The sequence below is a fragment of the Homo sapiens genome, chromosome 8 (genome assembly GCF_000001405.40).
Source record: "Homo sapiens chromosome 8, GRCh38.p14 Primary Assembly".
NCBI classification, from domain to species: domain Eukaryota; kingdom Metazoa; phylum Chordata; class Mammalia; order Primates; family Hominidae; genus Homo; species Homo sapiens.
Genome location: NC_000008.11, coordinates 37,779,924 through 37,802,507, shown reverse-complemented (window position 1 = coordinate 37,802,507; position 22,584 = coordinate 37,779,924). Strand labels below are relative to the sequence as shown.

Genomic DNA, 22,584 nt, shown 5'->3' with positions numbered 1-22,584 from the left:
TGGCCTTCTCTGTCTCTGGCCTCTTCCCTCTCTTCTTTCCTTCTTTTTCTTTGCTCTTTCCCCCTCCCCCTCTTCTCTCACAAAAGCTCTCTGTACACAGCCACTTCCTCTGGCTGCTGTCTCTGCGCCCAGACCTTATGAGAACCATATGGGGGAAAGCTGGTGGAAGAGAAGGGGGTGGAGGCGCCGGCCTGGGCCCGCCCCTCCACCAGCATCCTTGTCCTGCCCTCGGGCCATGTGCACGACGCTTGGCACACTTTGCCCAAATTCCCCTAACTGGATCCTGGTGGCTGTAACGAGGGGCCCTGAAGTGAGTCCCAGCCAGCAGCTGGAGGTCCAGAGGGAGACCTGTGCTCAAGAACCACTTCCCTGAGGCCCATCTTCCTCAACTTCCCCTACAAAGACCACTGAAATCCCAGCAGAAGAACCCAGCCCGTGCTAGGCACACCTGCGGCAGACAGCCTCTTCTCCCCTAGGTGGGCAGCCTGCGTGGTGGGCACCCCCGCTTCCCTGAATGGGAGGCCGAGCAGGTTGAGGGTTTGCCTGTTCTGGGGAAATTCAAAGTGACCTCTCCTTGCCCAGCCTGGAATGTTCCCAGGTCAAAAGGGCTCAGATCCTGCTGGGAAGGAACCGGGTTTTTTAAAGTGTCTTTTGTGTCTAATGGGTCCCAAGTTCAGCCAGGTGAGCAGCGAGGCCCTCACCTGGCAGGAATGCAATGCCCATCCCGGCGCCAGCCCCAGCCGACTGTGTGACTGTCAGCAAGGCACCCTTCTTCTCCTGGCCTCAGTTTGCTCAGCTGTAAGATGTGGGACTGGGCTTCCTTATCGCTAAGATCCTTTGGAGCCCAGGCCGTCTGGGAATTTATGACACTGGCTGGTATCCTCGGAGTGCCTGCTCAGATGTCCTAGGAGGTCTTTATAGATTTCCTTCTGGAGTTATCTACAAACAGTCCTTTCCTGGAATTCCTTATCCTCAGCCCCCTTCCCCCTCACTCACTCCCAGAGCTGAGAACCTCAGCCCTCAGCTGCTGCCGAGTAATACTGGGGCTCACAGTGGTCTGCACCTTCCTCCCACACCCAGGTTCTCCCTGTCATAAGCCACCCCCCGTGGGACCTTTTCCCTGGGGGAGGCCCACAAAGGCTCCTGCTCTCTCTGTTCAGAAGCACGGGTGCCCACAGCTGCCCTGCAGACTGGGCTGGGAGCCTGGGGGGTGGGGTGGGACAGAGGGATCAGGAAGGAAGCCAAGAGCTCAGCTTTCCTGGAAAACTGCGAATGAAAATCCACTAGAGAAAAATATGCAAAGGATGGGGGAGACAGGGGATGCAAAAACAGAAGGCAGAGTTGAGATAATGGGTGGAGGTGGCGGGAGGGCTTTCCATGCGGTAAATGGGACTGTGAACGGGGTCGCCTCTGACTGCAGGAAGGCTTTCTCAGAGTGCAGGAGGAGGCTCTCCGCAGACAGGGACCCCACCTTCATGCCTGAACAGCCCCCAGCACTCAGACTCCCCAAGGATCAATCCTGAGTGCCCCGGGGCCCCATCTTGGAGGAAAAAAAGGGTCTTCCATGGGAATGTGGGGGAGATGGGGAGGGAGGATAAAGCCAAAATGCAAAAATGAATGGCTCCAGTTTTATTTGCACCAGGTGACAAGCTAAAAGGTGAAAAGGAAAATGTTCGTGGCAGGAAAAAATAAATAAATAAAGTACGAAGGAGGAGTTTGGAAATGAGTCTGGCCATTTGTGTGGGGCGGCTCTCAGCTCTTGTCCTCTGGCTTTGCTGCTGGGCAAAAGAAGCGGCAGCTCCCTCCTTCCCAGATGCAGGGGCTCAGAGAGCGATACCTCAAAGACCAGGCACTTTGACACACTGAGAGACCTTAGGGGCCTCAAAACTTGGAGTTCAGAACCAAGATCCTCCTAACTTATCTTGTCCCCTGTTCCCCCAGCGCAGGGATGGGGCACTCTCCCTGGAATTCCCTTACCTGATGGAGAAAACTTCTCCTCGAAATAAAGGCAATGGTCTTAATACCTCCTCCCTAGAGATCTCAGCAAATAACCAAGATAGAGCGGGAGAAGAGTCTGGGAGTTGTCACCGCACCCAGACTTCTCATCTACTCGGAGAGCTCTGAGAGATCACCTGAGAGGTGTGATCCGCATAAATCCGCATAATAAAACCACCTTTGCTTCTGTGCAGCTCACCTTCTCCGGAGTCCCATCAACTGCCAGCCACCTCCCACCTCCCGGTCCATACATCTCTCCTCTGTGGAGAGAGCATTTCAGCCTTACTGACTCCTGTGCACACATGTGTGCGTAACAGTAATACGTGAGTTATGCTTTTCTCTTGTTAACCTGGGGTTTTTGTTGTTGTTAGAGGGCTGTTGGCTGTAACCCTTCCTGATGGGGAGGAGACAGATCATCCCCTTTCAGCCCCTACACAGACTTTCTCCTGCTCCCTCCCTCAAGATGCATCCTGGGGTGGGTGTGGGGGTGCTGGAGGGACTGAGCCTCAGAGGAAGGAACCTTTGCCCAGCTTCTGCTGAAGGAGAGCCTGGGTTCTTTTTCTTTCCGAAGCCAGCTGGTGGGGATTGGGGGGTGCCATGAGGATGAGGATTATGCGAAGTCTGGTGGGAGAGCTAAGCAGTAAGTCTGTGGCTGGGGATTCCATTACCCTCCAGGCTGAAGGACCCGTGGGCTCTCCAGGGTGTCCCTGGCCTGCCCTGTTTGTGTCCCTGTGGGGAAGTCCAGAGCCAGGCTCTGGGGCTGCTCCTTAAAGGGTATCCTATCCTAAGCCTGATGGCTCAGTGGCCTGGGAGGATTTGGGATTGGAGGGTGAGCTAGGGGTCACCTTTGCTGCCAGCCGGTTCTAATGTATTCTTACCAAGAGCTGGCCCAGCTCTCTCTGTGGAGTGGCGTGGATAGGAATTAACCATGGCCTGATCATTCTAAGATGTACTGCAAAACTGCCTTTCTATCTACCGCCTCCCCCACTTCCTTCTGCCTTTGATATGTTAGGATTCCCTAACCCTGACACAGAGACACGCAGAGAACACACATCCCACATATGTGCATGAGCAGACACAAGAGTGTGCACACATGCACGCACAGCTCTCAGCTCTGAATTCTTTTTTTTTTTTTTTTTATACGGAGTCTCGCTCTGTCGCCCAGGCTGGAGTGCAATGGCGTGATCGCGGCTCACTGCAACCTCCGCCTCCCGGGTTCAAGCGATTCTCCTGCCTCAGCCTCCTGAGTAGCTGGGATTACAGGCGCGCGCTACCACGCCTGGCTAATTTTTGTATTTTTAGTAGAGACGGGGTTTCACTATGTTGGTCAGGCTGGTCTCGAACTCCTGACCTCGTGATCCACCCGCCTCTGCCTCTCAAAGTGCTGGGATTACAGGCCTGAGCCACCGCACCCGGCCTCAGCTCTGAATTCTTATGCAGCTGGGACTCACGCAGACGCTACCGACTGTTCCGCAGAGCAAGCATTTTTCTCCTCCAGAACTAAGTGAGCTGGGGAATGCCCAGGCCTGCCTGGACCCTCAAACCCCAGCGGACAGTCAGAGAGAGCTGCCCTGAACAGCCACAGGTGCCTTCCCTGGCCACAGCCTTACCCTGAGCAGCAGGGAGGCGGCAGCGAGCAGACACACCGCCTCCACCCTTAAGGCACACACATGCACACACACACCCGGGCCGGGGAAAATGCAGGCCGGGCGGCCAGCGTCAGAGGCTGACCAGTTGTGTCCTGTCAGGAAGCGGGCAGCCTCTGAACTCACCCAACCAGAGGCGTTACTGTATTGTTCTGGACACAATCGAAAAGACTGGGCCAGCCCCGACTGCGGGCAAGGGGCGGTGGAGAAACGGTTGCCACTGGGGTCAGGAGGACAGGGAAAGGGAAGCGGCTCTTAGGCTGGATTTGGGACAGGAAAGGAAGCGGCGGCCGCGGGGGCCCGACCCTCAAATCCACGGCGTGCGTGGAGCTGCGAGCACGTGGTCGGCGCAGGAAATCTCTGCGGTGGGGAGGGGTCGCCAATGCTCGCGCGGCTGCTGGGACTTGCGACCCCCTTGTAGGAGGCTTGGGGTCGGGCTGCGGCGCTGCAGCGCTCGCTGCCAGCAAAGCAAAGGCGTACTGAGGCCCTGACTAAGAGGGAAGTCGCGGAAGGAGGCCCGGGTGGGCTGCGGTGAGGGAACCCCGCTTCCCCAGCCGCGTTTCTTTCTTCGCAATCTTTGCGCGAAGTCAATGGAGAAACAGCCAAAGCTCGAGTTACTTCCAGGAGAGGCAAAGGAGAGGCAAGGACGCGGGACCCAGCACAGAGCTCACTGCACAAACGGCGCCGTGGGAGAGGGGCCTCTAGAGGGATGGGGACGCCAGGGTCTCCTGCAGCCCAGGAGCGCCGGTATTCCAAGGGCCGACTTTTCTGAGCCCAGCCTCCCCTTGCCCTAAGGAGACCGGCTGGAAGCGGCGCTGGCAGGCCAGGGGGCAAGGATGGGATGACCCCAATTGAAGGGACAAGGCCAGCCAGGTAAATCCGGAGACTCCTCCAGCCCAGTCCGGGACGCGACCGTAGTGGTTAGGACCACAGCCCCCTCCTGGGCCACGAGCGTCGATCTTTCCTGAGCATTCCCCGCTCTCACCCTTCTCAGGTCCCCAAAGTCCGCAACCCTAGTCCAGGCTGGAAATCCGGGGCGTGGGTGCCCTGCAGGCGTGCTCTCCACTTCACCTGTGCAGGTGAGTGGGCGCCTGCGGTGCCTTTCTCTGGGGTGCGCCTGTCCCCCGCAGCCCCTTCCCGCCTCCACGCTCCTGGAGCCCCAGTCTCTCCCCTGCTCCTCCAATCTTCCCCTCTGGGGGCCTGAACCCAGGCCTGTCCAGAAATCTCTGAAGTGGGGGGATAGCCCCCTTCCCCCTGCTCCCACCCCTCCCGTCTCGCCTCCCTTCGTCCCCAGTCCCGGCTCGGACGGAACTGGCCTGGTAGGGTACTCACAGGGTAACGGTGCCGTTAGGCAGAAGGCCGGGCTCGGGAGGCTCCGGGAGGTCCCCGCCGCTGCACACCACCCTCCGCCGAGCCGGGCCAGGGACGCCGCCGCTCAGCCCCTTGGGCCGCTCCCCCGAGCACTTGCAGCTGCGGATGGATAGCGGGCAGCCGGGCGCGCCCCGAGCCTCGGGCGCCAGGAGCAGCAGGAGCCACGGCAGCAGCGGCAGCAGCAGGCGCGCGGGCGCCCCCCGCATCCTGCGTCCCCCGGCGCCCATCAACCCATCGCCCCGCGGGGACCCACAGCGCTGGGGCCGGGCTGCGCGCCGGCCGGAGGGACCCAGGCGTGCGGGAGGAGTGCTCAGCGGGGGCCCGGGGCTCCCGAGGGCGTGGAGGGGGGCCCTGGGCGGAGGCGAGCCCCGGGGTCCCCGCCGCCGCGCCCCGGGGGCATGTCCTGCGAGCGCCCCGGCGGGGAGGACGTCGGCGCGGCTGTCAGCGCAGCGCGGGCAGCTCCCAGCTGCGCGGCCGGAGTCTCAGCGCCCGGCCCTCGGGACACTGGAGGCCCGGCCCCTCCGCGTCGCCTGCTCGCTGGGCGCTGGGCTGGGACCTAGCGGATCGCGCCGGGCTCCTGCTGCCGCCGCCGCCGCCGCTCCGTGCCATGGATGGAGGCAGCTCCGCGCCGCGCCGCTCCCGCCGCCGGTCCCCGCCCGCCCGGGCCTTCCGCGGGGCCCTAGCGCCGACCGACACGCGGCCAGGCCTAGACCCTCTGCCGAGTGGGGGCGGGCCAGCTGGTTCGAGGACCCTGCGTCCCCGCGCCCGCCCTGCACCAACACTCCTCTCCCGCTTGTCCCCGCGCCCCGGGCCAGGACCCTTCCTTTCCGCAACCCATCTCAGACCTCTGAGCCGACCACCACCACCTTCCACAAAATTTCCCTCGTCCGTGCCGGTGCAGCTTGCGTCTCCAGGCTGCTGGGGCCCTCCTGGACCCGCGGGCTTGGACAGAGACGTCTGGGGCGCCCTGTTTTGGGTTGAACTTGGTGGAAGGCTCCGAGGTTTCCTTTGGCCCCTGACACGATGATCAGTCTGGAAGTCGGCTCTCACTCTCCTTCCAGCTCCGGTGGAGGCAGCCGCAGGAGGATGGCAGCCGAGACAAGGAGGCAGCAGACCCTCCTCCGCTGCGGTGACCTCGCTCAGCGGGGGGTGCATGTCATTCGGCCAAGGAGAGGTCAAAGGCCAAGGCAGACAAGGCTAGAGGCTAGACTGGGCCTCCTACATTTTCCACAACGCTGTGTGTGTGTGTGTGTGTGTGTGTGTGTGTGTTTCGGGGACAGTGAGTGGGACAAGGGAAAAGTAGATGAGAAGGAGCAGGGCTTTGCAGCAGGGTGTGGAAAGAGCACTGCGCAGTGAGTCTGGAGACCCCTATTCCAGACTCGGCTCTGCCTCTCATTACTGTCTGACCTTGGACACAGCCCCTAGCTTGCTGGGGTAGCAGATCTCTGGGGTTGAAATGGGGCTCTGCCTGCTCCCCAGTTTATAGAGTGGCATTAGATGCCCAGTAAATCGTGGCATTAGAATAAGAGAGTGTGGTGGGGGGGAGGGGCACATGGTTTCCAAAGGCAGAGGACTGGTGGTGGCAGGGGTGACCTTGACAACTAGTGGTGGGTATAAAGCTGCCTGCAGGCCGGGCGCGGTGGCTGACACCTGTAATCCCAGCACTTTTCGAGGCCGAGGCGGGCGGATCACTTGAGGTGAGGAGTTTGAGATCCACCTGGCCAAAATGATGAAACCCTGTCTGTACTAAATATACAAAAATTATCCGGGCGTCGTGGTGGGCGCCTGTAATCCCAGCTACTTGGGAGGCTGAGGCACGAGAATTGCTTGAACCCAGGAGGCGGAGGTTGCAGTGAGCTGAGAGCGTGCCACTGCACTGCAGCCTGGTGACAAAGTGAGACTCCGTCTCAATAAATAAATAAATTAATTAAAAAAAAAACAGCCTGCAGTACACCGGAACCAGGGCTGGGGACAGGCAGTAAGAAGTGCAGCCCAGGGGTCTGCTTCCTCTGTTTCCCCACAGAAGCTCACCTTTCTGTTGCTTAATAGAGCTGCCGGGATGGGGCAGGACTCCCGTTCCCCCTCCTTCACTCTACCACCCAAGCGGTCCCCAAGGTGAATGCCACATTCTTTAGTGAGCTTAGCCCTGCTGATGTGCGGTGGTGCCTTTTCTAGGGCCCCTGTGCCTGTCAGCCAAGTCTACCCTGACTATGCAGGGAATGGCTTTCTTCTCTTGCCCGTTGGCGTTGGCGGCAGGCAGGGGCCTAGATGTTGGCTTCTTCACTTTCCCTCCCTGGCTCCACAGATCTCCCCCAGTTGCAGGCTCTCTGGTTCCTTGAACTTCCAAAGATAAATAAATAGTGATTGCAAATGGAGGAAGGGAGAAGGGGAATGGACTCCCCCAGCAGGAGCCCTCACAGGCGGTGGCCCAGGCTGCATTCCTCAGGAAAGAGCTGACAGCAGAGCCACAGCCCATAGGCAGGGCTGTGCAGCCCTCCTGCTCACAGGCAAGGAAGACTCTGAGATCTCTGGCCTGGGTCATATAGCTTTTCTGTGATTTCCTTTGGCTAAATGAAGACACTCAAAGTCTAAAGAAGAATTCTACTGGAACACCCACTCCTGGAGGCTGAACAGAGGCCAAAGGACATTTAATGAGGCGAGGCTTCCCCACCACTAGGAATGAAATGTCTGATGGAGACATCTACAAAACACTGGACTGTCCTGAGGGTCACCACATTTGACTTCTTACCCACCCAGGGAGGTGATGAAGTGGAGGTTACTTTCTTATTTTGCAAGTATGGATGAAGAAACTGAGTCACTGAGACTAGAGTCCAAGGGTAGGAACTTACTTTCTGATTCCTTTTTTTGTGTATGTGTGAGACAAGGTCTCTCTCTGTCACCCAGGCTGGAGTGCAGTGGCAGGAACACGGCAGCCTCGATCTCCTGGGTTCAATCCTCCCACCTCCGCCTCCCAAGTAGCTGGAACTACAGGTTTGTTATTGCATGCAACTAATTTTTTTTAATGTTTTGTAGAGATGGGGATCTCGCCATGTTGCCCAGGCTGGTCTCAAACTCCTGGACTCCAGCAATCTGCCTGACTTGGCCTCCCAAAGTGCTGGGATTACAGGTGTGAGCCACCATGCCTGGCCATGAGCATGTTTGTCTGTTTGTTTGTTTGTTTGTTTGTGATGGAGTCTAGCTCTGTCACCCATGCTGGAGTGCAGTGGCACAATCTCAGCTCACTGCAACCTCTACCTCCTGGGTTCAAGTGATTCTCCTGTCACAGCCTCCCAAGTAGCTGGGATTACAGGCGCCTGCCACCATGCCTGGCTAATTTTTGTATTTTTAGGAGAGACAGGGTTTCACCATATTGGCCAGGCTGGTCTCAAACTCCTGACCTCAGGTGATCCACTCGCCTTGGCCTCCCAAAGTTCTGGGATTATAGGAGTGAGCCACCGCAACCTGCCATGAGCATGTTTTAATCCTTTTTTCTTCTTATTTCTAGTATACCGTGCCCGGCCATGGTTCCTTTTTAAGTGCTTTCTTCTCTGAGCCACAGGGAGACTTTCCCCTGGGAAGCTTCCTGCAGACCTCTCCTCAGAGGTGCAGTGAGGAGTGAATGAATTGCCCACATCAAAATCTTTTTGTTTTGAGGTTTGTTTGAGATAGGAGAATGACTCGAATTTAGTTCCAGACCTCAAAAAATCTGCTAGGGAGCCTGACCAATTAAACACACCTTGATCAGAGGTGATAAGCTCTTCAGTGGCGATCACAGAGACAAGACTGAATTAATTCCGACCAGAGCAAGGGAGAGGGGACTTTCCGAAAGAGTCTGTTTAATCTGGGCAAGAATATAATCTACCGGACTCTATGAGACCTTATTCCCCTAAGAGTCTAGGGGCTCATATCTGCCGTCTCCCTCTTGAAAGAAGTTTGCCTTTGCTGGGAGCTAGCTGCTAGCTGATCTCTCTGAGACTGAGCAGATTGGAACTACCGTGGGAGTCACATAAGGAAAGTGGACAGCCACTGAGTGCTTATTATGTGCCAAGCGCTTGTTGAGTACATTTCGTAAGAATTAGCTCATTTAGCCAGGCACGGTGACTCATGCTTGTAATCCCAGCACTTTGGGAGGCTGAGGCGGGCAGATCACCTGAGGCCAGGAGTTCAAGACCAGCCTGGCCAACAGGGCAAAACCTCATCTCTACTAAAAATACAAAAATTAGCCGGGTGTGGTGGCGGGCGCCTGTAATCCCAGCTACTTGGGAAGCTGAGGCAGGAGAATCGCTTGAACCTTGGAGGCGGAGGCTGCAGTGAGTCGAGATTGCACCACTGCACTCCAGCCTGGGGGACAGAGTGAGACTCCATCTCAAAAAAAAAAAAAAAAAAAAGAATTAGCTCATTTAGTTCTCAAAACAGAGTGAGGACCTTTATTTTTATTTTTATTTTTTTTTTGAGTCAGAGTTTTGCTCTTGTTGCCCGGGCTGGAGTGCAATGGCATGGTCTTGGCTCACTGGAACCTCCGCCTCCTGGGTTCAAGGTTCAATTCTCCTGCCTCAGCCTCCCAACTAGCTGCCCGCCACCATGTCCAGCTAATTTTTTTTTTGTATTTTTAGTAGAGACGGGGTTCACCATGTTGGCCAGGCTGGTCTCGAACTCCTGACCTCAAGTGATCTGCCCGCCTCAGCCTCCCAAAGTGTTGGGATCACAGGCGTGAGCCACCGCGCCTAGCGGTTAGGACAATTTTTTTAACAGACAGGGAACCCAAAGAGTACCTCACCCAAGAATATATAGCTAGTAAGTAATGGAACCAAGATGTGGACTCCTGGAACCAAAGTCGAAAAATTTTTTGAGACAGGGTCTCTCTCTGTTGCCCAGGCTGGAATGCAATGGTACAATCATAGCTCACTGCAGCCTTGAACTCCCAGGCTCAAGCAGTCCTCCCACCTTAGCCTTCTGAGTAACTGGGACCACAGGCATGTGCCAGCATGCCCGACTAAATTTTTAATTTTTTGTAGAGACGGGGTCTCGCTATGTTGCCCAGGCTGGTCTCAAACTCCCAGCCTCAAGTGATCCTCCTGCCTCAGGCCCCCTAAGTACTGGGATTACAAGCATGAGCCATGATGCCTGGCCTAGAGACCAAATTTTTAACTGCTGTACTCTGTCATTTCTAGGGAGGAGAAGAGCTCACAAAAATTCTCCCAAGAGTTTCACTTCCCCTTGTGTGTGTGTATGTGTTTTTTTTTTTTTTTTTTTTTTGACGGAGTCTTGCTGTGTTACCCAGGCTGGAATGCAATGGCATGATCTCGGCTCACTGCAACCTCCACCTCCCGGGTTCAAGCATTCTCCTGCCTCAGCCTTCCGAGTAGCTGGGATTACAGGCGCACGCCACCATGCATGGCTAATTTTTTGTATCTTTAGTAGAGACGGGGTTTCACCTCGTTGGCTAGGCTGGTCTCCAACTCCTGACCTCAGGTGATCCACCTGCCTCAGCCTCCCAAAGTGCTGGGATTACAGGTGTGAGCCACCACGCCTGGCACCCTTTGTGGTTTTTTTTTTAACTTTGATTCTCTGGCCTTCTCTGAGCGAAACCTTTAGAGATGTCCACTCTTAACCCATAGCTGGTAGTAGAACCAAGACACACTTGGCTTTTTCCCTAATAGAGTCCGGGAATGGAGAAACTTCCTGAAGGAACTTCACTACTAAGCTAGGAGAAAGTAATGGGTGGATAAAGAATACACACAGACTGCCGGGCATGGTGGCTCATGCCTGTAATCCCAGCACTTTGGGAGGCCGAGGCGAGTGGATCACGAGGTCAGGAGATCGAGACCATCCTGGCCAACATGGTGAAACCCACCCCCCATCTCTACTAAAAATACAAAAATTAGATGGGCGTGGTGGCACATGCCTGTAATCCTAGCTACTTGGGAGGCGGAGGCAGGAGAATCCCTTGAACCAGGGAGTTGGAGGTTGCAGTGAGCTGAGATTGCGCCACAGCACTCTAGCCTCGCAACAGAGCAAGACTCCATCTCAAAAAAAAAAAAAAAAAAAAATTAGCCGGTGTGGTGGTGCGCACCTGTAATCGCAACTACTTGGAAGGCTGAGGCAGGAGAATCGCTTGAACCCAGGAGGTGGAGCTGAGATCGTGCCATTACACTCCAGCCTGGGCAACAAGAGTGAAACTCTGTCTCAAAAAAAAAAAAAAAAAAAAAAAAAAAAGAAGAAGAATATACAGACCGTAAGCATGCAGAGGTGCTGGGGGTAGCAACAGCTAACAAGCTTCCAGCACCAGGCCCTCTTCTCTTCTGTGGTGTGTCAGAGGGCCCCACCCAGGCTGTTCACCATTTTTTTTTTTTTGAGACAGAGTCTTGCTCTGTCACTCAGGCTGGAGTGCTGTGCTGTGACCATAGGTCACATCAGCCCTGAACTCCTGCGCTCCGGCAGTCCTTCCACCTTGGCCTCCCAAAGTGCTGGGATTGCAGGTGTGAGCCACTATGCCTGGCCTTACCTTTTAATGCTAAGGTTTTCTAATTTCCTTCTGTGCCTTGTTGTTTTTCAGATTTTAACAATCAGACTCAGGTCAACAGTGGTTGAGATAATGGCCCATAATTGGCTCCAGAATGCAAACGTGGCATTTCTCCAGGATTCCATTAGCTCAGAATGACAAGGTGACTCCCTGCCCCCACCTCCCTCACAAGATGGCTCCCCGGGGCTTCCTCTGAGCTCTGTCCCTGTCCTGCACCTCCCTGTGGGGACGGCTGAGCTGCTGGTCCTATTGGAGCAGCATGAACACCTTGCTGGGTGTTCATGAGGGAGAAAAGCTCATGAAGGAATGAATCAGAGTTGGATGCTATGCATATAAATATTTAGGCCTGTAAGGGCTTCTCTTTGGTGATCTGATTCCACCACATACCAGGTACCTCAGCATAATTCAGACATTCCTGCAGGAAAGGGTCATAATCTCTGTCTCTATTAAAGTCCAATTTATCCTTTAAATGAAATCTACTCACAGTCCTGCAGATGAGGACTACTTCCTGCACGATGACCACAGCGGCTAAGAGGCTGAGGCAGGAGAACCGCTTGAACCCAGAAGGTGGAGACTGTGGTGAGCGGAGATTGTGCTGTTGCATTCCAGCCTGGGCGGCAGAGCAAAAGTCTGCCTCAAATAAATACATAAATAAATGTCCTCTGTGCTGTCTCTGTGGAGGATCAAGAGTGGTGGGACCAGTGGGGGAACAGGAGACAGTGAGGAGGCCAGGCCCACAGGCCAGTGGAGGCCTCTTGGACAAAGGGGATGGGGAAGGAGGTGAAAAGGGGCTGGATCCCGATGTAGTCTGCAGGTGGAGTCCCACAGGATTTTCCAACACATGGGAAGAGGGGTGTCAGAAGCATTGGTCAAGAACGTCCTCTTGGGTGTTTGGCATGAGCCATGAGAAGAATGGAATGACCATTTCCTAAGCTGGAGAAGACTCGGGAAGGGTAAGGTTTGGGGAGGAAATCAAAGAGTTTGACTTGTTGCTCTGCTAGGTGCTGCGGATTTCATGGTAAACAAGAAAGACACAGTCACTGCCCTCGTGGAGTTGACAGTCCAGGAGAGGCAGCTATTTTATTATTCTTTTTTAGAGACAGGGTCTTGCTCTGTCTCACAGGCTAGAGTGCAGTGGTGTGATCATGGCTCATTGTTACCTCAAACTCCTGGGCTCAAGTGATCCTCCTGCCTCAGCCTCCTAAGCAGTTCGGAGTATAAGCACACCCTACCGCACCCGGTTAATTACAAAAATTTTGTGTGTGGAAATGGGGTCTCGCTATGTTGCCCAGGCTGGTCTTAAACTCCTGGCCTCAAGCAATCCTCCCACCTCGGCCTTCCAGAGTGTTGGCATTACAGGCATGAGCCACCGCGCCTGGCCCTGAGAGGCAGTTATTGAGCAAACACTAACACATGTGACTATAATTCGACATTGTGTCAGTGCTGTGAAGGGAAAGGGGGCATTAGAGAGGATTGGGGCAGAAGCCCTGTTTCCATGAGGATCAGGAAAGGCCTCTCTGTGGATGTAATGGCTAAGCTGACCTGAAGTATCAACAGGTGTTAGCCGGGTAAAGAGGGCAGCAGGGAGCCTTCCCAAACTCTGGGCAGGGAAGAGGTTGGCACCTTAGACAGATCTGCCTTGCTGGAGGGAGTACAGGGGAGAAGGAGGGAGAGAGCCGGTAAGGGCTACAGGCCCGGCCTCCACCCTCCCTTCCTCCTCCTGTTCCTCCCCTGGTAGCTCCCAGGCTCCTTGGAGCTCAGGGGAAAGTGTGGCTCTCTCTTGCCCAGGGTCTTATGGATGGATCAGGAATGAGGAGGCTTTCCTATCTGCAGCCTTACCCGGCCATAACAGGGAGGGTCCTTTCGGGGGATTGAGGAGGCTGTGCCCATCCAGGCCTGGCTTCCCATCTGGTTTCAGGGCTCCTGGGGGCATGGTCTGTAACCTGTTCCAGGCCCATGCAAGGGGCTGCTCCATCACCAGCCTTTTTTCCCCAGAGGCAGCCAAGATGATGAGTCCCTGCCGCAGGCCAGCACCCCTTTCCCTGAGCCCCATGGTGTTAGACATTCAGGTCTCAGAAAGGTGGAGGCAGCTCTAGCCAAGAGAAGGGTGTGTGTGAGCATGGGGGGTGGGCTAGGGAGAGGGGGCGACAGAGGGGCAAGAAGGGGTTACGAGGCCAGCATTTTTGTATGGGTGTGTGGATGTGTGGCTTTCACGCTGTAGAAAATAAAATATAGAGGATGAGGGGGAGGCAGTAAGGCCCGTCACGTGCAGTGTCTGGTTTAACCCTCACACCATGCCATATGTGGCTACTGCCTTTCACAGATGAGGCACTCAGAGAGGATGTGTGCATGTGTGTGTGTGTGCGTGCATGCACATGTTGGGGTGGGGAGAGAGGGTGTGTGCATGCGGAGAGAGGGTGTGTGCATGTGTGTGTGCATGCGTGCATGCACGTGTTGGGGTGGGGAGAGAGGGTATGTGCGTGTGTGCCTGCGTGCGTGCACATGTGTCAGGGTGGGGGCTTCATTTGGTCTCGCTTCTTTCTGTGATGGAATGGGGTCACTTGATGGAGAAGCTGGGGTGAGCCTGGGCTCCCCGATGGCTGCTGCTCCCTGATGACCCTGCTCATGCTCCCTGCTGCGGTGCCCTGCGGTGGGTGAGTGTTGGCAGGTGCGGATCTCTGCTCCGCTGACCCATCTGCACCCCCATGCCCCGCAGGAGGCCTGAACCGCCATGGAAGGGAACCGGAGAGGAGCGCAGAGCCGGCTGGTGGAGAAAGTCGCAGGCGTTCTTCCAGGCAGGAGGAGGGGTAGGGAACACCCCGGGCAGCTTGGAGCGTTTGGGGTCATCCCCAGGGCACTGGGCCAGGTGGGGGCTGGTGCGAGTGAGGGGTGGGAACCCCCTCTGCCGGGCCTGTGGCGGGGAGCCTGAGGTTGAGGCCAACCTCAAAAGTGTGCCTGCCTGCAGCTCTCACCACTGTTTAAGAAACTCATTTTTATCGAAGCAACACACACATGTGGCTAAGATGTGGACTAGCCTGGAAGAGCTTGTGATGAAAAGGCCGCGGGCCCTCCCAGTCCTGCTCCCCAGAGGCGGTGGAGTTGGACAGTTTCTGCTTTGAGTTTTCTGCTCTTTGTTGAAGCAGTCATGGAACGGGCTTAGCGCCCCGAGAGATCGACCCTGTTTGAGGATGGGTTTTCCAATCCAGCATTTAGGAGCTGCCCACCAGGCCTCCCGGTTTTCAGAGCTGTGGCTCTCCGCAGATTTCCCACCAGCTTCTCAGAGTCACTGTTGCCTTCTTCCCACAGACCACTCCACCCACCCCGGAGCACTTGGACCCCAACCCCCGTCATGCTGTAGCCTGAGAAGTGCCCTCATTAGCACACAGCTCAGGCTGATGGCAGCTTGGATTTTTAATTTGCTGGAAAAGTCCATCCATGCACAGAACCTCAATTCGTAGCAGCAGCTGGACTCTTGATGGCTTGCTGGGGCTGACCTTTTTTTTTTGTTTTTTTTAGGGACGGGTTCTCATTCTGTCACCTAGTCTGTAGTGCAGTGGTGCCATCATAGCTCACTGCAGCCTCCAATTCCTGGATTCAAGCGATCCTCCTGCCTTAGCCTCTAGAGTAGCTGGGATTACAGGCATGTGCCACCGACCCTGGCTAATTTTTAAATTTGTGTAGAGACAGGGGTCTTGCTATGTTGCCCAGCCTGGTCTTGAACTCCTCGGCTCAAGCAATCCTCCTGCCTCGGCCTCCCAAACACTGGAATGACAGGTGTAAGCCACTGTGTGGGACACGCTGGTCCTTTTGTGTGTGTCTCTCTTGTCATCTCCCCCTGCTCTCTCCCTTTCTCCTCCACCTTTTTTTTTTCTTTTTGAGACAGTCTCGCTGTGTCACCCGGGCTGGAGTGCAGTGGTGCTATCTAGGCTCACTGCAACCTCCACCTCCTGGGTTCAAGCAATTCTCCTGCCTTGGCCTCCCCAGTAGCTGGGATTACAGGTGCCCACTACCGTGCCCGGCTAATTTTTTGTATTTTTAGTAGAAACAAGATTTCACCATGTTGGCCAGGCTGTTGTCGAACTCCTGACCTCAGGTGATCCGCCCACCACAGCCTCCCAAGGTGCTGGGATTACAGGCATGAGACACCACGCCCGGCTCCTCCACCTTGCTCGGTGCTTTCCTTCCTCCTTTCCTCTCCTGCTCTCTCTCTCTCTCACACACACACACACACACACACACACACACACTCTCTCTCTCTCTCTCTCTGGCCTCAGGGGGCCCTGGGTCTTCACCCAGAAGGAGAAGGCCAGGCTTCTGTGCAGGTAGTTGTGGGCTCTATTTCCTAAGCCCTGTCAGCTGCCCTGTGGCCCTGCAAGGCCTGGGTTGAGGTCGGGAGAGATGTGGGAAGAGGAGTCCCTCTGTCCAGGCCCCTGTCCTGTGCCTGCACTTTGAGGAGTTTGGGTGTGTGCTGGAGTCTGGATGCCCAGGGCGTGTGAGCCAGAGTATTTGGTTTTGGTTTCACTCTGGGCTAATTTTGCTGTTTTTAGGCCTCAGTCTTTAGTTAGGTCTTTAGTTGAAAGCTAGGGAACACTCGGGAAGGCTTGGATGTCCATGTTTGGGCAGCATCAAGGGGAAGCGGGGCCTTTCCCCCTCTCCACATCCAGGCTGGTTATATCAGCGGGGCTCTGTGAGTGCCATGAAGGGAGCTTGCTTGAGGACTTGGAGTTTCAGTTGCCTTGTGGAGGGTCCTCCTTCCTCCCCAGTCTTAGAAGATCAGGTTTCATGTCTGAAGGCCTGGCAGTGTTTCTGACAGTCCTTATCTGTTTGGGCCATCAGAGCTCCACCCCATTTCTCCAGGGAGGTTCAAGCTGACTGCAAAGCCCAACACAGCTGGGGCCAGCAGAACAGCCGACCTGAACTTTCACCAGCGCCAGGCTTTGTGTGAGGCACTTTCCATGTATGGCCACATTTAATCTTCACAGCAATGCCATGAGTAGTTACCCTTAAGATCACTCCCATTCACAAAGGAGGAAACTGAGGCACAAAAGGGGCTAAGTACTTGGCCTAAGATAATTTGTCTGATAAAGAACAGATTTGAGATTCAAAGCCGGACAAACCAGTGCCAGAGTCTTAGAGCAACTACTGTGTCTGTGTGTGTCTGTGCGTGCGGATATGTGTGTGCATGTGTGTATATGTTTGCATGTATGTGTATATGTGTGCCTGTATGTGTGTGGCTGTATGTGTCTCTGTGTGTGTATATGTGTGCCTACATGTGTATGTGTGTATATGTGTGTATATTTGTGTATGTGTGTGGCTGTATGTGTATGTGTATTTGTGTAAGTGTGTGTATGTGTGTCTAAGTGTGTATATGGGTGTCTGTGTGTGTAGGTGTGTTTGTCTCTGTGTGTATATTTGAGTATGTGTGTGTATGTGCATATGTGTGTGTATGTGTAGGTATGTGTATGTGTGTCTGTGTATGTGTGCATGTTTTTGTGTGTATATATGTGTCTCTGTGTATATCTGTATCTGTGTGTGTATATCTGTGTGTGTCTGTGTGCTTGTATCTGTGTGTGTATCTGTATCTGTGTATGTGTGTGTATATCTGTGTGTGTCTGTGTGTGTATCTGTGTATCATGTATCCGGATCTGTGTATCTCTGTGTATCTGTGTGTGTGTATCTGTATCTGTGTGTGTGTATCTCTGTGTATCTGGATCTTTGTATCTGTGTGTGTGTATCTGTATCTGTGTATCTGTGTGTGTACCTCTGTGTGTGTAGCTGGATCTGTGTATCTGTATCTGTGTGTGTATCTGTATCTGTGTATCTGTATCTGTGTGTGTACTTGTATCTGTGTATCTGTGTGTGTGTATCTGGATCTTTGTATCTGTGTGTGTGTATCTGTATGTGTGTATATCTGTGTGTGTGTGTGTGTAGCAGCTCCCCACACCCCTCACAGGCTACCTCCTTATTCCTGCAGCCCTTACCCTTGCAAATGTGTTCTCCAAGCGACTGCATAAAGCCCTTTTGATGACTGGTTCCTTAACACGGACACAGTGAGAGCCCTGTTCCCCATCCCCACCCCTGCCCCAGGCCCTGGGCCTCCACTCAGAGGCCCAACCAGCACCCTGGCTGCCAGCGTGGGCCTGGGCCTCACGGCTGAGCCCAGCCCTGCTGGGGACAGCACACTCCGCTGCTGGGGCCTGTGAGCAGTCTTGGAGACAGGCCTGTGACCGGTCACAAGGGGGCACACAGAGCCGCCTGCGAAGCCCTACACCCTGGGAGGGGAAGAGGTGTCTCCTTCAGGCCTGGCCTCCCACTCACCAACGTGGAGCAGGACGGGACCTGTACGCAGGCCGCACCATCCCCCACCAGAGGGTTCTGCCAAGGGGCTGCCCTCTACGATGGCGCAGGCCCCAAAGTCCCAGCCCCTTGTCCTGGCCGCCCTGGGGTGCAGGCAGCTCCTGCCTCACACACCTGGTTGGCCAGAGCAGTAAAGCGAGGCAGGGCCACCTAGAGCCCTTTGGTTTGGGGATCTTCCTGTCACCAGTGGTTTGTGGGAGATGGATGAGAAGGGTGATAAGAGGGAAAGTAGATAGAGACAGGATACAAAGAGGAAAAAAAAGAGAACAAGAGAGAGAGGCTCACCCAAGGCATCCCAAATAGGAGGGCACCTTCCCTTTTCCTCCATGCAGGAGATGCTCCCGGGGAAACCAGTAGAGGAAGGCAGCCACACAGCCAAGGGAGAGATGGGCTGGCCGGGGTTCCAGGCCCTGCACAGCGGCTCTCTCTGCACGATGGTGTCTGGGGACCCTGGAGGATCAGCTGCAGTTCTGTGAGCTGGTGGCCCAGCTGCTCACCCCTCCCTAGAGCCCTTGCCCCTCCCAGCTGAGGAGCGCTGCTGTCAGAGGCCGCTCCTGCAAATGTCTGGCTTTATCCTCCCCACACATTGAAGCCATCAGGCCTCGGCCCTGCGACTGCAGCTTGCCTAGCTCCGTGGGTCAGAGACAAGTCTGGAACATGGCGCTTTCATGAAAACCAGACCTAGCCTCCTCCAGCCCCTCACTCCTGGGGAAGGGGGGCGGGCCAGGGCCCTTGCTCAGGCTCTAGTTTCAGAACTTTGCAACTACTGTCCTCTATTTTGATCCCTCTGAAACGTTTTTGAGGTCACCTTCCACTCTTGCCGCTTGCTCCACCCTCAGTTTCCAACCGGACTTTGAGTCAATGCTGCAGAAAACAGGGAATTTGAGGGGCCCCAAAGTCCTGGGTTGCTCCATCAAAGCAGCGAGCACCCCTCAGTGCCTCATGTACTAGGGAAGCCTAAATCAAAGGCAAACCCTGAATTCCTCTTGCTCATGGCCAATAAAAACCTTGCTCCAGTGCCGGTTTCCTTTGCTGAAATCAGATATCTTGGTAATAAACAAGTCCGAAAGGCAGGGAAAAGCTCTTGCTTGCTTCTTTCTTCTGATTAGTTTTTCTTCCTTTAAAAAAAAAATTTCTCCTATAACAGGATGCCTGCCCCAGAAACTTGAGCACAGAAGGCTGCCCTCTCCTGCCCTGCTTCCCTCACTCCTCCAGAACCTTCCCCACTGGGCTCCTGTTGGGTGGGGGTTGGGGCCTGGCTTCCCCAGGACTAGACTGCTTTAGCTCAAAGGCGGGTCAAAGGGGCTGGGGAGAAGAGGCCTTTGCTGCCTGGGGAGTTGGCTGCTGGCTCACAGGCTTACAGCAATAGCTGACTTCTAAGCCTCTGGCTGGTGGCCGGCAGCAGTGGGAAGGCGGAGTTTTGACAAAGTGGAATCCCCCCACCTTTTTTTTCTTTTTCTTCCTTCCTTTCTCTCTCTCTTTTTTTTTTTTTTTTTTTTTTTTTTTTTTTTTTAAAAGACAGTCTCCCTCTGTCACGCAGGCTAGAGTGCATCACAGCTGGTGTGATGGTGTGATCACAGCCACTGCAGCCTCACTCTCCTGTGCTCAAGCGATCCTCCCTCCTCAGCCTCCTGAGTCACTGGGACTACAGGTGTGCACCACCATACCCAGCTAATTTTTAAATTGTTTTTAGAGACAGGGTCTTGCTACGTTTCCCAGGCTGGTCTTGAACTCCTGGCCTCAAGCAATCCTACTGCCTCAGCCTCCCAAAATGCTGGGATTACAGGCGTGGGGCCACCACGTCTGGCCAAGGAACCACTTTTCTCTAAGGCAGTTCTTCTGAATTCCTCTGAGTGTGCCATGGGGCTGTAGAAAGCCCCACACTGTGGGATTTAGTGTGCCGTCCACAGAGAGGTAGATCTTGGGCATCAGAGGGGCTGGGAGGGTAGAGGCCTTGGGCTTTTGCTTCCTGGGACTGCCTTGCCCTCGCACATCAACCCTTTCCTGGGCCCCTGCCTGTCCTTGTCCAATCCCAGGGCAAATGTAACTCCACATGTGGCCTGCTATGAAGGAGTGCCCTCCCCTGAGGTGCTCACATCTCTCTTCTTCCCTCCCAAATAGGTTTTTAAGTGACTTTGCTGTCAGAAGATGCTATTCTGTTTGTTTTTCCTCTGACACTATCTCTCCAGAGAGTTTCTGGTCAAGAGAATTATGTGGAGGCTGCAGATTGCAAGAGAATTGCGCCTAATAGGGAACAGACAGACAAGACACCTTTCATGTCTAGCCAAGTTTCTTTTCCCCTCCTCTTTCTCTCTCTCTCCCACTTCTCATCTTCCCTTTTTGGCTTCAAAGTTGGCCTTCGTTTGTGCTTGTTTCTTCCGTACATCTGGTGAATAAGGTCACACATTGATTTTATTTTGGAGATTGGCAGCCGGGTCAGGCTTAGCTCTGAGGCTGGAGAGCGGTAAGGCTGCTAGGAGGGCGGGTGCTGGAGACGCTAGCCTGGAATAGCATGGAGGTAGCAGGCGGTGTCTCCAGGCAGCTGGTGCAGATGGGACCATTCGAGAAGGCACTCCGGCACTCAGAGTGGCCTCTGCTCCCTGTGATCTCAAGGCTCAGGAGTGTGGGCTTGTAAAATTTATTCTAAATACAAGAAAAGTGCCAAAAGCCCCTCCTGCTGTCCCCACTGTGTGCCGTTTCAGCTGCTCTGTGCTGCACTTTAAAGGAAAAAAAAAAGTGTTAGCTCTGCGGTCCCTTGAGGCTTCAACGTGATTATAGAAGAGGAACTTAAGTTTAAGGACCCTTACCTTGCAAGTAGCTGCTTAACCACACAGAGCCATAGTTTACACACGTTGGTGCAAACTGGGTGGAAAAGGAAGCCCTTTTCTTTACCTATGTGTTCCTTGAGGGGAGGACAGATTAGTAAAACATTTTGGTAGACAGTCTGGATTCTTTTGTCCTTAGTCATGAGGCTGATGTAATAGCATTCAACTAATTTCATGGTAAAGACAGTCACAGTTCCCAGAGAAATCCTTTCCCCTTGCACCACTGGTGACATTCCACTCCTACTGCAGCCCTTCAGGAATTGGTAAGCGAGTACTTCCTCCTTCAAAGCTTTGGTGGGATGCACACGACCACTTCTTTTCTGAAGGATGAAGATGTCCTGGATTTTAAGAATGTCCTGTCTGACCTCATTCCTGTGTGTCTAGCCTTGGGGAACAGAATTCACTGCTGGTCCAGCTTCAGGGGGAAGGCACAGGGTTGCACACTCTGGGCCCTGCAGCCTGTGAGATTAGCTTGAATCATGAGGAATGAGCTTGGGAGGGAGATGGGATGACGAGAGGGGAGGCCAATCCCACTCATGGCTGGGTTTAATGCTCTCCTTCCTTCTCACCCCCACTGCCTGTGGTTTCAAAGTTTGTTCTGCATTAAGATGCGTCAATTCTCAGCTGTTCCACTGGAATAGAAACACACACACTTATTTTATGGTAATAAGGCTCGTTTAAATGAAAGCTGCACATCTAAGAATATGCCACTTATCAATTATTAAAGGTAGAGATAGAAGATACCAGTGTGGAGTAGTGACCATGTTCTGGGCCAGAAAGTCAAGTCCTGAGTTTATTTCTCGTCCTGCCACAACTCACTCTGACCTCAGACAAGGAGAACACGGAACCTTCTCTGGGCCCCAGTGCCCCGTCCACAAAGGGACATTGCCTATCAGCCTACACAAGTCTACCAGCTGTTGTGATGGTGAAATGAGAGAATATAGAGAATAGTGCTGCATATGCCATCAATGTTAAACAAAAGGTGGGGGGTACCATTTGAGTATTAAGAGGTTGCTTTAAGAACTGTGATAGAATCTGTGAGGAGCTCCCCAAGAGATCAAAGTCTTGATGGACTATTGGGAGGTTTTGTGGCGTCTCAAGCCTTCTGAGGCTGGCTTCAGGGCAGACAAGGGCCCAGCGCCTTCAGAGACTGTGAGGCTGCACAGGTGGGCCCAATCCAGGAGAGCAAGCCGTCCAAACTCCAGGAACTGGCTTTCATGAAAATCTGGAAGAAACCCAACCTGCCACCCATCATGCGTAACGAAAGACAAACTCACAACCTGGCTCAATTTTCTCTCTGCAAAATATCCCATCCTGCTGGGGACACCCTAGACACACTTTGGTGTCCTTCCCTTATCTAGATCTGATTGAGCCTTCCCTGGCTTTCCTCCTTATTCGCTGTTTTTGTTTTGTTTTGAGATGGGGTCTCACCTTGTCACCCAAGCTGCAGTGCAGTGGTGCGATCTCAGCTCACCGTGACTTCTTCCTCCCAGGCTCAAGCGATCCTCCCACCTCAGCCTCTGGAGTAGCTGGGTCCACAGGCATGTGCCACCATGCCCAGCTAATTTTTGGGCGGGGTATTTTTGGTACAGACAAGATTTCACCGTGTTGCCCAGGCTAGCTGGTATCGAACCCCTGAGGCTCTGCAAGTCACACTATCACTTGAGAGCGTCATGTCCTCTCTGGCCTCCACCAGACTGAGTAACCAGGAGTCCCTCATAAGGTAAACTACTGACAGTGGAGAGCCAGTGCTTGTCCCTCAGGTTAGCCAATGTCGCCATCTAGAGGCAATTCAAAAGTCTCTTGCAGTGAGGGGTAACTATTTTTGTAATTCTTGAAATGTCCTTTTTCTTGCCCTTAGAAGTTC

The 22,584-nt window shown here is 54.2% G+C and overlaps 1 protein-coding gene and 1 long non-coding RNA gene across 5 annotated transcripts in view, besides 10 other annotated features; one reads left to right on the top strand and one right to left on the bottom strand.

The window, feature by feature from the left end:
• The window catches only part of ADGRA2 (adhesion G protein-coupled receptor A2), a 48,014-nt gene extending 42,389 nt beyond the window's left edge, over nucleotides 1–5,625 (bottom strand). For all 4 annotated transcript variants that reach the window (XM_011544481.3, NM_032777.10, XM_011544483.3 and 1 more), the window contains exon 1: nucleotides 4,974–5,625. In XM_011544481.3, coding sequence (XP_011542783.1) covers nucleotides 4,974–5,239 — 266 coding nt within the window. In that variant the 5' untranslated portion in view covers nucleotides 5,240–5,625. The remainder of the gene's footprint in view (nucleotides 1–4,973) is intronic.
• Nucleotides 5,011–5,100: a silencer, noted in NCBI's record as "silent region_19110". NCBI's record gives its function as "represses an Ori minimal core promoter by ATAC-STARR-seq in GM12878 lymphoblastoid cells {active_cell/tissue: GM12878}" and the evidence as "EXISTENCE:reporter gene assay evidence [ECO:0000049][PMID:35858748]".
• Nucleotides 5,381–5,550: a silencer, noted in NCBI's record as "silent region_19109". NCBI's record gives its function as "represses an Ori minimal core promoter by ATAC-STARR-seq in GM12878 lymphoblastoid cells {active_cell/tissue: GM12878}" and the evidence as "EXISTENCE:reporter gene assay evidence [ECO:0000049][PMID:35858748]".
• Nucleotides 5,561–5,800: a silencer, noted in NCBI's record as "silent region_19108". NCBI's record gives its function as "represses an Ori minimal core promoter by ATAC-STARR-seq in GM12878 lymphoblastoid cells {active_cell/tissue: GM12878}" and the evidence as "EXISTENCE:reporter gene assay evidence [ECO:0000049][PMID:35858748]".
• Nucleotides 6,064–6,629: an enhancer, noted in NCBI's record as "H3K27ac-H3K4me1 hESC enhancer chr8:37653397-37653962 (GRCh37/hg19 assembly coordinates)". NCBI's record gives its function as "activates a minimal SCP1, AML or CMV promoter by ChIP-STARR-seq in naive H9 embryonic stem cells {active_cell/tissue: H9 hESC(naive)}" and the evidence as "EXISTENCE:reporter gene assay evidence [ECO:0000049][PMID:30033119]".
• Nucleotides 6,630–7,195: an enhancer, noted in NCBI's record as "H3K4me1 hESC enhancer chr8:37652831-37653396 (GRCh37/hg19 assembly coordinates)". NCBI's record gives its function as "activates a minimal SCP1, AML or CMV promoter by ChIP-STARR-seq in naive H9 embryonic stem cells {active_cell/tissue: H9 hESC(naive)}" and the evidence as "EXISTENCE:reporter gene assay evidence [ECO:0000049][PMID:30033119]".
• On the top strand, nucleotides 11,261–18,540 carry LOC105379381 (uncharacterized). The gene is made up of 3 exons (XR_949686.3): nucleotides 11,261–11,677; nucleotides 12,022–14,342; nucleotides 18,225–18,540. It is a non-coding gene; the product is annotated as an uncharacterized LOC105379381 (long non-coding RNA).
• Nucleotides 14,252–14,760: an enhancer, noted in NCBI's record as "H3K4me1 hESC enhancer chr8:37645266-37645774 (GRCh37/hg19 assembly coordinates)". NCBI's record gives its function as "activates a minimal SCP1, AML or CMV promoter by ChIP-STARR-seq in naive H9 embryonic stem cells {active_cell/tissue: H9 hESC(naive)}" and the evidence as "EXISTENCE:reporter gene assay evidence [ECO:0000049][PMID:30033119]".
• Nucleotides 15,919–15,988: an enhancer, noted in NCBI's record as "active region_27232". NCBI's record gives its function as "activates an Ori minimal core promoter by ATAC-STARR-seq in GM12878 lymphoblastoid cells {active_cell/tissue: GM12878}" and the evidence as "EXISTENCE:reporter gene assay evidence [ECO:0000049][PMID:35858748]".
• Nucleotides 20,379–21,578: an enhancer, noted in NCBI's record as "BRD4-independent group 4 enhancer chr8:37638448-37639647 (GRCh37/hg19 assembly coordinates)". NCBI's record gives its function as "activates an origin of replication core promoter dependent on BRD2, P300/CBP, MED14 and CDK7 cofactors, and independent of BRD4, by STARR-seq in HCT116 cells {active_cell/tissue: HCT116}" and the evidence as "EXISTENCE:reporter gene assay evidence [ECO:0000049][PMID:35650434]".
• Nucleotides 20,379–22,019: a biological region, named in NCBI's record as "BRD4-independent group 4 enhancer GRCh37_chr8:37638448-37639647".
• Nucleotides 21,519–22,019: an enhancer, noted in NCBI's record as "H3K27ac hESC enhancer chr8:37638007-37638507 (GRCh37/hg19 assembly coordinates)". NCBI's record gives its function as "activates a minimal SCP1, AML or CMV promoter by ChIP-STARR-seq in primed H9 embryonic stem cells {active_cell/tissue: H9 hESC(primed)}" and the evidence as "EXISTENCE:reporter gene assay evidence [ECO:0000049][PMID:30033119]".